Below are 14224 nucleotides of genomic sequence, written 5' to 3'. Positions count from 1 at the left end.
CAGACACTCTTTTTTTTTTTTGAGACAGAGTTTCACTCTTTTTGCCCAGGCTGGAGTGCAACGGCACAATCTCGGCTTACCGCAACCTCCACCTCCCAGGTTCAAGCAATTCTCCTGCCTCAGCCTCCCAACTAGCTGAGATTACAGGCATGCACCACCACGCCCAGCTAATTTTGTATTTTTTAGTAGAGACAGGGTTTCTCCATGTTGGTCAGGCTGGCTTTGAACTCCCGACCTCAGGTGATCCGCCTGCCTCGACCTCCCAAAGTTGCTGGGATTACAGGTGTGAGCCACCGTGGCCGGCCCAGGCACTCTTTTAGGTCCTGTAAGAAGCATTTTACACCCTGCCCTCTCTCTCTGAAGTCAGCTTCCTCTGCACAATAAAACCTGGTCTCCACGATCCTTTAGCTTAACCTGAACATTTCCTTTCTATTGATTCCGGGTCTTCAGAGAAAACTCAACCAATTGTCAATCAGAAAATGTTTAAATTGCACGCCTCGCCCCACCCTTTGTGTTGTTCCACCTTTCTGAACCACGCCAATGTATTTCTTTCTTTTTTTTTTTTTTGAGACAGAGTATCACTCTGTAGCCCAGGCTGGAGTGCAATGGCATGATCTTGGCTTACTGCAACCTCCGCCTCCCGGGTTCAAGCGATTCTCCTGCCTCAGCCTCCTGAGTAGCTGGGACTGCAGGCATGCGCTACCACGCCTGGCTAATTTTTGTATTTTCAGTATAGACAGGGTTTCACCATGTTGATCAGGCTGGTTTTGAACTCCTGACCTTGTGATCCGCCCTCCTCGGCCTTCCAAACCCAATGTATTTCTTTTTTCTTTTCTTTTCTTTCTTTCTTTTTTTTTTCTTTTTTTGAGACAGAGTCTCGCTCTGTCGCCCAGGCTGGAGTGCAATGGTGCGATCTCGGCTCACTGCAACCTCCGCCTCCCGGGTTCAAGCAATTCTCCTGCCTCAGCCTCCTGAGTAGCTGGGACTATAGGTGCATGCCACCACACCTGGCTAATTCTTTGTATTTTTAGTAGAAATGGGGTTTCACCATCTTGGCCAGGCTGCTCTTGAACTCCTGTCAGGCCTCTAAGCCCAAGCTAAGCCATCCTATCCCCTGTGACCTGCATCTATACATCCAGATGGCCTGAAGCAACCGAAGATCCACAAAAGAAGGGAAAATAGCCTTAACTGATGATATTCCACCATTGTGATTTGTTCCTGCCCCACCCTGACTGATCAATGTACTTTGTAATCTTCCCCACCCTTAAGAAGGTTCTTTGTAATCTCTCCCACCCTTAAGAAGGTTCTTTGTAATTTTCCCCACCCTTGAGAATGTACTTTGTGAGATCCACCCCCTGCCCGCAAAACATTGCTCCTAACTCCACCGCCTGTCCCCAAACCTGTAAGAACTAATGATAATCCCACCACCCTTTACTGACTCTGTTTTCGGACTCAGCCCGCCTGCACCCAGGTGAAATAAACAGCCTTGTTGCTCACACAAAGCCTGTTTGGTGGACTCTTCACACGGACTCGCGTGACACTAACCTCATGATCCACCTGCCTCAGCCTCCCAAAGTGCTGGGATTACAGGCGTAAGCCACCGCGCCCGGCTTCAAGATGTTTTCATACATAGGTATGGGGGGCCCAGCAGATGAGATGGACCACTGAGAAGACAGTTTGTCACAGTTCTCAAGAGGAAGGGACATGCCAGGCCAGGCAGGACACCCAGAGAGCACCAGGGCCGAGGGAGCATGCAGGTCACACGGGAGAGCACGAGGGATCAGAGGCAGAGGGAGTGAGGGCGGAGAGAGGGCAAGAGCTTGATTTGGTTTTTGCAGGAATGAGTGGGTGGGGCAGGGTAAACAGGTTTGTGATTAGCTAATTTGAATAATTTCAGCAGGGCCTGGGGCATTGGGCCTACTCTAGTGGTCTGGTTCCTGGCCCTGGGTGATGAAGGCAGGTGCACAGCAGCCCTGAGTGTGAGAGCTCAGAAATGGAGGTGGCTGGGGGCTGGGCTCTGGACTGTTTGGTTTGCACATGAAAGGTGTGATTGAAAGACTTGTTGGCCGGGCGCGGTGGCTCACGCCTGTAATCCCAGCACTTTGGGAGGCTGAGATGGGTGGATCACCTGAGGTCAGGAGTTGGAGACCAGCCTGGCCAACATGGTGAAACCCCGTCTCTACTAAAATACAAAAAAAAAAAAAAAAAAAATTAGCCAGGTGCAGTGGCAAATGTCTGTAATCCCAGCTACTCGGGAGGCTGAGGCAGAGAATCGCTTGCACCATGAGGCGGAGGTTGCAGTGAGCCAAGATCGCGCCACTGCACTCCAGCCTGGGTGAGAGAGCAAGACTTTGTCTCAAAAATAAATAAATAAATAGAAATGTTAACAGTAGCTTTGTTCACAAGAGCCCCCAAGACTGGAAACAGCCAGGTGTTCATCAGTGGAAGAAAGGATAAATAAACCACGGAACCCCGTACAATGCAATCCTGCCCCGCAGTGAAAATGAACGGACTGTGGACACACACAGCAGCACGGGTGAATCTCAGAAACTTTGAGCTGAGTGGAAGAAGCCAGAGAGGAGAGTTCAGTTTTCTGAGAGTTTATGATTCTGCTTGCGTGAAGTCCCAGAACAGTTGAAATTAGTCTATAGTGAAAAAATAATAATATCAGAAGAGTGGTAGCCTCCAGGGGAGTAAAGGCAAGATGTGACTGGGCAGGTGCATTTGGGAGCTTGCTGTGACAATGGCCATATTCTATGTCTCCATAGGGGCTTCAGTATATAATTTTAAAACACGCTTAGGCCGGGAACGGTGGCTCACGCCTGTAATCCCAGTACTTTGGGAGGCCGAGGCAGGAGGATCATGAGGTCAAGAGATCGAGACAATTTTGGCCAACATGGTGGAACCCTGTCTCTACTAAAAATACAAAAATTAGCCAGGCGTGGTGACAGGCACCTGTAGTCCCAACTGCTTGGGAGACTGAGGCAGGAGAATTGCTTGAACCCGAGAATCGCTTGAGCCAAGATCGTGCCACTGCACTCCAGCCTGGTGACAGAGCGAGACTCTGGCTCAATAAATAAATAAATAATAAATAAATAAAACAAACAAAAAAACCCACACAGTTAATGGTGTACTTAAGATGTGTGCAACAGCCGGGTGTGGTGGCTCACACCTGAAAATCCCAGCACTTTGGGAGGCTGAGGCGGGCAGATCAATAGGTCAAGAGTTCAAGACCAGCCTGGTCAACATAATGAAACCCTGTTTCTACTAAAAATACAAAAATTAGCTGGGCATGTTGGCTCATGCCTGGAATCCCAGCACTTTGGGAGGCCGAGGCGGGCAGATCACTTGAGGTCAGGAGTTTGAAACTAGCCTGGCCAACATCATGAAACCCCGTTTCTACTAAAAATAAAAAAAAAAATTTAGCTGGGCATGGTGGCAGACACCTGCAATCCCAGCTATGTGGGAGGCTGAGGCAGGAGAATCGCTTGAACCTGGGAGGCAGAGGTTGCAGTGAGTCAAGATCATGCCACTGCACTCTAGCCTGGGCGACAGAGCAGGACTCTGTCTCGAAAAAGAAAAAAAGTTGTGAATGGTTGAGTCTGGGTGTCTGGGTGGTGTGGATGGGGTATTCATTCTAAGATTCTTTCAACTCTTCTCTATGCTTGAAAAATTTTTATAATAAGATGTTGAAGGAAAAACTCATCCTCTACCAACCTTCTCACCCCAGATTTGTCGATCTCCTTTAATTACAAAAAAAAAAAAAAAAAAAAAAAAAAAAGACGTGGGGCACCTGGCACAAAGTGTGTGGGAAGAGGTTTTATTTTGGGAACCACCTTGGCTGCTATGCACCGTGGCAAGTCATAATTTGTCATTTTCCGCTTTCCGTGTATGAACCTTTTTGCTACTTGGAAAGAGGTCCCTGTCAGTCTGAGTCTTAGTGGGAAGTCTGGTTCTGCCTTCCTCTGTGGAGGGAAAGGTGGAATCCATTCTATCCTTTGAGGTGGAGAGTGGGATCCCCCATCACACGGCCCAATGTGGGCCTTTTTTTTTTTTAAAGAGATGGAGTCTGGCTGTGTTGCCCAGGCTGGAGTGCAGTGGTGAGATCTCCCGTCACTGCAACCTCTGACTCCCTGGTTCAAGTGATTCTCCTGCCTCAGCCTCCCAAGTAGCTGGGATTACAGGCATGCGCCACCACACCCAGTTAATTTTTGTATTTTTAGTAGAGATGGGTTTGCATCATGTTGGCCAGGATGGTCTTGATCTCCTGACCTCATGATCCACCAACCTCGGCCTCCGAAAGTGCTAGGATTACAGACGTGAGTCACCGCGCCCAGCCTTTTTTTTTTTTTTTTTTTTTTGAGATGGAGTTTTGCTCTGTCGCCCAGGCTGGAATGCAGTGGCTCGACCTCAGCTCACTGCAGCCTCTGCCTCCCGGGTTCAAGCGATTCTCCTGCCTCAGCCTCCCGAGTAGCTGGGATTACAGGCATGCGCCACCACGCCTAGCTAATTTTGTATTTTTTAGTAGAGACGGGGTTTCTCCGTGTTGGTCAGGCTGGTCTCGAACTCCCGACCTCAGGTGATCCGCCCGCCTTGGCCTCCCAAAGTGCTAGGATTACAGGCGTGAGCCACCGCACCCGGCCTTTTTTTTTTTTTTTTTTTGAAATGGGGTCTCCCTCTGTTGTTCAGGCTGGAGTACAGTGGTGCGGTCTCGGCTCACTGCAATCTCCACCTCTCAGGTTTTAGCTATTCTCCTGCCTGAGCCTCCCAAGTAGCTGGGATTACAGGCGCCTGACCCCACGCCTGGCTAATTTTTTTTTGTATTTTTAGTAGAGACGGGGTTTCACCATGTTGGCCAGGCTGGTCTCGAACTCCTGACGTCATGATCCACCTGCCTCAGCCTCCTAAAGTGCTGGGATTATAGGCATGAGCCACCACGCCCGGCCTGACCATTTTCTTTTCTTTTTTTTTTTTGTTGTTTTTTTGAGATGGAGTCTCGCTCTGTGGCCCAGGCTGGAGCGCAGTGGTGTGATCTCCGCTCACTGCAAGCTCCACCTCCCGAGTTCACGCCATTCTCCTGCCTCAGCCTCCTGAGTAGCTGAGACTACAGGCAACCGCCAACACACCCGGCTAATTTTTTGTGTTTTTAGTAGAGATGGGGTTTCACCATGTTGGCCAGGATGGTCTCGATCTCCTGACCTCGTGATCCACCTGCCTCGGCCTCCCAAAGTGCTGGGATTACAGGCGTGAGCCACGGCGCCTGGCCCGGCCTGACTATTTTCTTACAGCAAATTCTGCAGGGCCTTTCTATGACTCTTCCCATAAGATAGATGCTACTCTCTGCAACAAGGAAAAATAATGTGGCATTCTGGCTAAATTCCTTTATGAAGCCTATCTCTGCTTAGAGGTTATATGAGGTTTAGAGGTTTATGTGAAGTGTCAGTGTAATACAGAGGAAAGAGAGGGACTGCTCAGTGGTGAGTCTTACATGGCAAAATAGAGATTATGTTTTCTGCCCTAAGCATGGTAAGAAAACCGGTTAGACTCCCTCTCCACCTTAAGCAGCTGCCCTGCTGTGCCTGTAAGGGCTTGGCTGTGGGATATAAGGAACCCTCTGTCTCTGCTCCCTTAAAACAAGCAAGCCACACCTGCTGGGGTGGGTCCTAGGCTGGTAGAGCTGTAAGGCAATCCTATTTTTGGTGGAAGCCTGAAAGCAACCTATATAATCCATACATATTCATAAGGTTTGCCTTGTGCGGTGTGGTAGGCAGCCTCCCAGATGGTCCCCAATAATCCTCACCTCCTGGTATTTATAGCATCATGTAATCCCGTCCTTTTAAGGATGATTGTGTGACTTGCATTCTGTTAGCAGACTCTTTTTGCCTGCTTAGTTTGCATACTTTGATGAAACAAAGCTATCCTGTTGCAGAAAACTTTCATGGCAAGGAACTGAGGGGTGGCTTCTGGCCAAGAGTCAGCAAAGAACTGAACTGCCAGCAACACCATGAAATCAACAGAACCTTGAGATGGCCACAAAGCTGCTGGCCCCTTGATTGCAGCCCGGGAGAGACCCTGAAGCTGAAGACCCAGCCGGGCTGTGCTCAGATCCCTGATTCACGGAAATCGCAAGACAATAAACGTGTGTTGTCTGAAGCTGCTCCCTTTGAGGTGATTTGTTACACAGCAATAGCTAACTGATACATATAGAAATAAAGAGAGGCCGGGTGCAGTGGCTCACGCCTGTAATCTCAGCACTTTGGGAGGCCGAGGCGGGTGGATCAGGAGGTTAGGAGATTGACACCACAATGAAACCCCATCTCTACTAAAAATACAAAAAATTAGCCAGGCGTGGTGGCGGGTGCCTGTAGTCCCAGCTACTCAGGAGGCTGAGGCAGGAGAATGGCGTGAACCCGGGAGGTGGAGCTTACAGTGAGCTGAGATCGAGCCACTGCACTCCAGCCTGGGTGACAGGGTGAGACTCCGTCTCAAAAAAAGAAAAAGAAAGAAATAGAAAATAAAATCTTGGGTCTTTCTTTTGATATCTTGATCAAGAAAGTTTGATCACTTTACCAAACATGTATTATGTATTTTTCATAAATAAAAGAGAATTTATAAAACAGCTTGAATCATGAAACATTAACGAAACGGCCTCACTTAGCCCACCATCCAATTAAGAGCTACAATCTCATCCCGACCACCTCATCTACCTGGAATCTCCTTCCATTCTCATCCTCCACTTTCCTCCTCTGCAGAAGTAACTGTGCTTGTCGTTCCCTTATTTGTTTTATTTTATTATTTTATTTTATTCTACTTTAAGTTCTGAGACAGAGTCTCACACTGTTGCCCAGGCTGGAGTGCGGTGGAATGATCTCGGCTCACTGCAAACTCTGCCTCCCAGGTTCAAGTAATTCTCCTGCCTCAGCCTCCCGAAGAGCTGGGATTACAGGCGCGCACCACCATGCCTGGCTAATTCTTGTATTTTCAGTAGAGACGGGGTTTCACCATGTTGTCCAGGCTGGTCTCAAACTCCTGACCTCAGGTGATCTGCCCGCCTCAGCCTCCCAAAGTGCTGGGATTATAGGCGTGAGCCACTGCACCTGGCCCCTTATTTGTTTAAAATAGTGTCTCTAAACCACATATTGGAATGAACTTGGTAAAAATGACAACAGAAACCATGAATTTTTTTTTGAAATGATTCGTGAAATCATTTTCAATGCCATAGTTTGAAGCTTTCCAATATAGGTCTATATCACAGTTTTTGTATTTTTGTACCTGTTGATGAACACATGGGCTTCTTTTATTTTAGTTACTTTTCTATTTCTATTTATTTTACTTTCCCTATTACGTAACAGACATTTTTTACATGTTTCTTGGTGCATATGTGCAAGAATTTTTAAAGAGTATACATATAAGAATGGAATGATTGCGCTATAGGGATTGTTAGTTTCAATTTTTTGAAATAGTGTCAAAGTGTTTCCAAAAGTAGCCTTACCAATTTTTTCCTGGCTTAATTGAGATATGATTGACAAATAAAAGCGTATATATTTGGTCAGGCGCGGTGGCTCATGCCTGTAATCCCAGCATTTTGGGAGGCCGAGGCGGGTGGATCACAAGGTCAGGAGATCGAGACCATCCTGGCTAACACGGTGAAACCCCGTCTCTACTAAAAAAAAAAATACAAAAATTAGCCGGGCGCCTGTAGTCCCAGCTACTCGGGAGGCTGAGGCAGGAGAATGGTGTGAAGCCGGGAGGCGGAGATTGCAGTGAGCCGAGATTGCGCCACTGCACTCCAGCCTGGGCGACAGAGCGAGACTCCGTCTCAAAAAGAGAAGTGTATATATTTAAGGTGTACAACATGATGTTTTGACATATGTACACATTGTGAAATAATTACCATAATCAAGATGTTTAACATATCCATCACCTCACTTTTTTTTCTGAGACAGAGTCTCATTCTGTCACTCAGCCTAGAGTGCAGTGGTGCGATCTCAGCTCACGGCAAACTCCACCTCCCACGTCAAGTGATTCTTGTGCCTCAGCCTCCCGAGTAGCTGGGATTACAGGTGTGTGCCACCACGTCTGGCTAATTTTTGTATTTTTTGTAGAGATGGGGTTTGGCCATGTTGCCCAGGCTGGTCTCAAACTGCTGACCTCAAGTGATCCACTTGCCTCAGCCTCCCAAAGTGCTTGGATTATAGGTGTGAGCCACCGTTCGTGGCCACATAGTTGTCATTTTTGCGTGTGTGGCGAGAGCCCTTACGATCTATTCTGCTAACAATGTTTAAGTACATAATACATTTTCACTAATTTGTCACCATGTTGCACAACAGATCTCTTGAATTTATTTTTTTCTATCTAAAATTGTGTACCCTCTGACCACGATCTTCCCAATCCCTACTCCCCTTCCCAAGCCCCTGGTCACCACCATTCCGCTCTCTGCTTCTGTGAGTTCAACTTTTTTTTTTTTTTTTTTTTTGAGACAGAGTCTCACTCTGTCGCCCAGGCTGGAGTGCAGTGGCGCAATCTCGGCTCACTGCAACCTCCGCCTCCCAGGTTCAAGCCATTCTCCTGCCTCAGCCTCCCGAGTAGCTGGGATTACAGGCATGCACCACCACGCCTGGCTAATTTTGAATTTTTAGTAGAGACGGGGTTTCTCCATATTGGTCAGGCTGGTCTCGAACTCCCAACCTCAGGTGATCTGCCCGCCTTGGTCTCCCAAAGTGCTGACAGGCGTGAGCCACCGTGCCCAGCCTCCCGAGTAGGTTTTGCCATGTTGGCCATGGCTAGTCTCGAAGGCCTGAGTTCAACTTTTTAATATTCCATGTATAAGTGAGGTTGTGCGATATTTGTCTTTCTGTATCTGGCTTATTTCATGTGGCATGATGTCCTGAAGGTTGACAATTACATCCATACTGTAAATGACAGGGTTTCCTTCCTTTCTAAGGCTGGATAGTATTTCCACTGTGTATATATACATTTCCTTTACCCATTGTCCACTGATGGAGACTTAGGTGATTCCATATGTTGGCTATTGTGAATAACTCTGCAATACACATAGGGGTGCAGACATCTCTTCCACACACTGGTTTCAGTTTCTTTGAGCATATACCCAGTAGTGGGATTGCTGCATCATGGAGGGTAAGCTTTTTTTGTTTTGTTTTGAGACAGAGTCTCGCTCTGTCGCTCAGGCTGGAGTGCAGCAATCTCGGCTCACTGCAAGTTCCGCCTCCCGGGTTCAAACTATTCTCCTGCCTCAGCCTCCCGAGTGGCTGGGACTACAGGTGCCTGCCACCACGCCCGGCTAATTTTTTGTATTTTTAGTAGAGATGGGGTTTCGCCATGTTGGCTAGGCTGGTCTCGATCTCCTGACCTCAGGGGATCCGCCTGCCTCAGCCTCCCAAAGTGCTGGGATTACAGGCGTGAGCCACCGCGCCCGGCCACAAAAGCAAATTTATGACAGGGACCTGGTGATGCGTGCTGCATCACACCACATCCTTCCATTCCTTTTCACAAAGAGACTCTAGTGGCTCATGCCTGTAATCCCAGCACTTTGGGAGGCCGAAGCGGGCGGATCACAAGGTCAGGAGTTCGAGACCAGCCTAGCCAACATGGCGAAACCCCATCTCTACTAAAAACACAAAAATTAGCCAGTCACGGTGGCTCACATCTGTAATCCCAGCACTTTGGGAGGCCAAGGCCCACAGATCACAGGGTCAGGAGTTCAAGACCAGCCTGGCCAACATGGGGAAACCCATCTCTACTAAAAATACAAAAATTAACCAGGCGTGGTGGCAGGCGCCTGTAATCCCAGCTACTTGGGAGGCTGAGGCAGGAAAATCACTTGAAACCGGGAGGCGGAAGTTGCAGGGAGCTGAGATCGTGCCACTGCACTCCAGCCTGGGCGACAAGAGTGAAACTTTGCCTCAACAACAACAACAACAACAACAAAAAAAAAAAAAAAAAGAAAAGAAAAGAAAAGAAAAAGAAATGATGCCAGGCATGGTGGCTCACGCCTATAATCCCAGCACTTTGGGAGATCGAGGCGGGTGGATCATCTAAAGTCAGGAGTTCGAGACCAGCCTGACCAACATGGTGAAACCCCATCTACTAAAAATACAAAAATTAGCCGGGCGTGGGGGCAGGTGCCTATAATCCCAGCTGCTCGGGAGGCTGAGGCAGGAGAATCGCTTGAACCTGGGAGACGGAGCTTGCAGTGAGCCGAGATCACAGCCACCGCACTCCAGCCTGGGCAGCAGAGCGAGACTCTATCTCAAAAATAAATAAATAAGTAAATAAGTAAATAAATAAATAAATAAATAAATAGATAGATAGATAGAAATGAGCTCTCAAGCCATGAAAAGACACAGAGGAACCTTAAATGCATATTACCAAGTGGTAGAATCCCATCTGAAAAGGCTACGCATTGTCTGATTCCAACAATATGACATTCTGGAAAAGGCAAAGTATGGAGACAGGAAAAGATCAGAGCTGCCAGGGGTTGGGCGAAGGAAGGATGAATAGGTGGTGCACAGAGGAATTTTAGGGCAATGGCTCTCCTCTGTCTAACACTGTGACGGTGGGTGCCTGCCATTAGACATTTGCCTGAACTCATAGGATGTGCAACAGGAAGACTGAGCGAGCCCTAATATGACTTTGGGTGATTACAATGTGTCAATGCAGGCTCATCAGTTGTAATAAAAATACCGCTCTGGTAGGGAACGCTGGTAATGGGGGAAGCTATGTAGGTGTCGGCGTAGGGAGTACATGGAAAATCTCTACCTTCCCCTCATTTTACTATGAACCTGAACCTGCTCTAAAAATAGTCTTTTTAAAACATTTTTCTTCCTCTTCCTCCTCTTCCTCTTCTTCCTCTTCCTCTTCCTCTTCTTCTTCTTTCTTCTTTCTTCTTCTTATTCTTATTTTATTTTATTTTTTTTGAGACGGAGTCTCGCTCTGTCGCCCAGGCTGGGGTGCAGTGGCGCGATCTCAGCTCACTGCAAGCTCCACCTCCCGGGTTCACACCATTCTCCTGCCTCAGCCTCCCCAGTAGCTGGGACTGCAGGCGCCCGCCACCACGCCCGGCTAATTTTTCTGTGTGTTTTTAGTAGAGACGGGGTCTCCCCGTGTTAGCCAGGATGGTCTCGATCTCCTGACCTCGTGATCCATCCGCCTCGGCCTCCCAAAGTGCTGGGATTACAGGCGTGAGCCACTGCGCCCGGCTAAAAATAGTCTTTTAAAGAAAATTTCTCAACCCAAGCACTACTGTATGGAGACAGGGAGGGTCTCCAGGGATTATAGGAATTTAATCAACTTGAGCAATCAGCCTGTTTCACAGCCTTCTGCCCTGCAGCCTGTTTTTCTCCAAACCCTGTGTGGAATGCGGCCACTCGTTGGTTGGAACCAGCCTCTGACGGGCCCTGGCAACTTAGAGATGAACCCGAGTGAACTTTCTGCACTGCTGCGCTCAAGTCTCCATCCCGGGAGGAGCTGTAGTCTCGTTACCGTAACATGCGACCCGTGTGCTGGTATGACGACTCGCTGCATCTGCGTGACTGGGACCCTCCTCCACATACAACGACGCGCCCTCTCCCTGCTCCCTCACCCCATAGAGCCCTCCTGTCCCTTTTCCTCAGGGAGACACTGCTTTGAAGAATACACCCAGTGCCTTCCTTAGCTGTGTCAAGTCATAAAACTCTTCTTGATCAAAACCTCTGTATTAGTTTGTTCTCATGCTGCTAATAAAGACATACCCGAGACTGGTTCATTTACAAAGGAAAGAAGTTTAATGGGCTCATAGTTCCACTTGGCTGGGGAGGGCTAACAATCATGGCGGAAGATGAAGGAGGAGCAAAGTCACGTCTTACATGGCAGCAGGCAAGAAAGAGCGTGCAGGGGCGCTCCCATTTATAAAACCATCAGATCTCGTGAGACTTATTCACTATCACGAGAACAGAATGGGAAAAACCTGCTCCCGTGATTCAGTCGCCTCCCACAGGTCCCTCCCATGACACGTGGGGATTATTATTATTATTATTTTGAGACGGAGTCTCGCTCTGTCACCCAGGCTGGAGTGCAACGGCGTGATCTCAGCTCACTGCAACCTCCACCTCCCAGGTTCAAGTAATTCTCCTGCCTCAGCCTCCCGAGTAGCTGGGACTACAGCTGCCCGCCACCACGCTCGGCTAATTTTTTGTATTTTTAGTAGAGACGGGTTTCACTGTGTTATCCAGGATGGTCTCGATCTTCTGACCTCATGATCTGCCTGCCTCAACCTCCCAAAGTGCTTGGATTACAGGCGTGAGTCACTGCCCCCCATCGACACGTGGGGATCATTACAATACCAGGTGAGATTTGGGTGGGGACACAGAGCCAAACCACATCACCTGCATTCTCGGGAGAGTTGTTTGCTCCTCACCAGGCAAAGGAACCCTGTTTTTTTCTGGGTAACACTGTTGACTTTCGGGGCTAGGTTATTCCTTGGGGGAGGAGCTGTCCTGTGCATCCCCCGCCTCCACCCCCCACCACCCAGAAGCATCCCCCTCTCCTCTGGGTTGTGACAATCAAAAGTGTCTCCAGACTTTCCCTAGTGTCTGCATTTGGGACCCTTCTATTATTACTGCTGATTCCATGAGTACATGGTAATTACCCGCTGAGTTCCAGGGACTCCACTATAATTATCCAGCTGGTTTTGGGAGCTCCTGGTGCAATTATCCAGCTGGTTCCTGAGACTGCACCGCGATTCCTTAGCTGATTTCCATGACTCTACACACTGCCAGCGCCTGTACATAATTATACACTAGTTTCTAGAGCCTTTCTGTAATTATTCAGCCTTTTATAGAAATCTAATCATAACTACCTGGGCAATTTGTTTTGTTAAGTAGAGTGCTAATGAGTGGTCGCCAATGTTTCAGCTCCTCTTCTGAGTACCAGGGACGTGGGTAGAACTTTGATCCTATCTTATCCTTACAGGATATTGAGAGGAGAGGAGAGAAGTTGACATGGCACCACCCAGTGGAATGACATAGTCAGCACAGAGTGCAGTGGGAGCACAGAGGAAGAGTGCCAGGCCCATCGTGTCCAGCTGTGTAGGTTGTGCACTGCACAACTCTGGGGTCATATCACAAACTGTGAGTGTGAAGAGCCTTGTAAGGCTTCCAGGACAGGTTTCTAGGGGTCACCAGATGCAGTTCTAGAGCAAGGCTGAGGAATCCTGACTCCTAGAAAGAAGGGGGCAGGGAATTGCTGAGGACGTTTGAAGTCTAATGGGATGACACGTCCCCTGCTGTGACAGGCAGCTCAGGTTTCTAGTTGAAGTCTGGGAAGAAGAAGGCTCCATGAAGGCGCTTCTATTTGGAGTCATTTGTGTTACTTCCCAGCTCACTCAGGGTGATCATGGTGACCAACAGGGCTCTACACAGGACCTGTGGCCCCAACCCTCACCCCTCTGCATTCTCTTCCTGCCACTTCCCTCTTCCTACCCCTCTGTCTGCAACTGCCACACTATTCCCCCTGCTGAGCTTTGCACCCTCCAGACCCCCTGGACCACCGCTGCACTTTCTCATTTATCCAAATCACTCTCACCTTCTAGCTGACTGTGACTGTATAATGCCTGTGGGTTACTGCCCCTCTCCTTCTGCAAGAATATAAGCTCTTCCATGGAAAGGGTGTTTGTTTTCTATATTGGTGGACCTCTAGAGCCTCAAACAGTGTCTGGCACACAGGACAGGACCAACAAATACTTACTGAATGAAAAAAATGAATGCCAGATGGAAAAAATAAAAATGAACTAAGCAGGGAGTTTCTCCACTGTGGCCACAAGAGGGAGCCCAAGCTATGTGTTAAACCCTTCCAGCACTAAGGTGGGTGGTCTCTCTGCTCCTCAGCCTGGAGGACCAGGGACAGGTGTGACCTGAACCACGTCCTTTCTCCTCTGTGAGCCTCTATTTCCCCATGTGTAGCGTGGAGATGGAAATGCCTGAAAGGAGTTCCCGTAAGAAGCGGAAAAACCAACAACGCATGCACGTGAATGTCTTCCAAGGGGTTATTGCATGTGTCCAAATTCATCTGATTGTGTACATTAAGTGAGAAGGTTTTTTAGTAGAACAATTATAGCTAAACAAAGCTGCTAAAAATAAATGGAACAAAAATAAAGGAGAATTGCATTGAACAACAACATCCAAACCATTAGGCTAGCACAGGAAACTTGAAGGAGAGTAATCCAGCC

At 48.3% G+C, this 14224-nt stretch overlaps 1 annotated feature.

Annotated features, from left to right (window-relative positions):
* Positions 13004 to 13551: an enhancer, noted in NCBI's record as "NANOG hESC enhancer chr19:54903053-54903600 (GRCh37/hg19 assembly coordinates)". NCBI's record gives its function as "activates a minimal SCP1, AML or CMV promoter by ChIP-STARR-seq in naive H9 embryonic stem cells {active_cell/tissue: H9 hESC(naive)}" and the evidence as "EXISTENCE:reporter gene assay evidence [ECO:0000049][PMID:30033119]".

Source organism: Homo sapiens, chromosome 19 (genome assembly GCF_000001405.40).
Source record: "Homo sapiens chromosome 19, GRCh38.p14 Primary Assembly".
In the NCBI taxonomy this organism is placed as follows: domain Eukaryota; kingdom Metazoa; phylum Chordata; class Mammalia; order Primates; family Hominidae; genus Homo; species Homo sapiens.
Note: the sequence above shows the minus strand (reverse complement) of the source record. Positions and strands in the feature narration are given on the sequence as shown.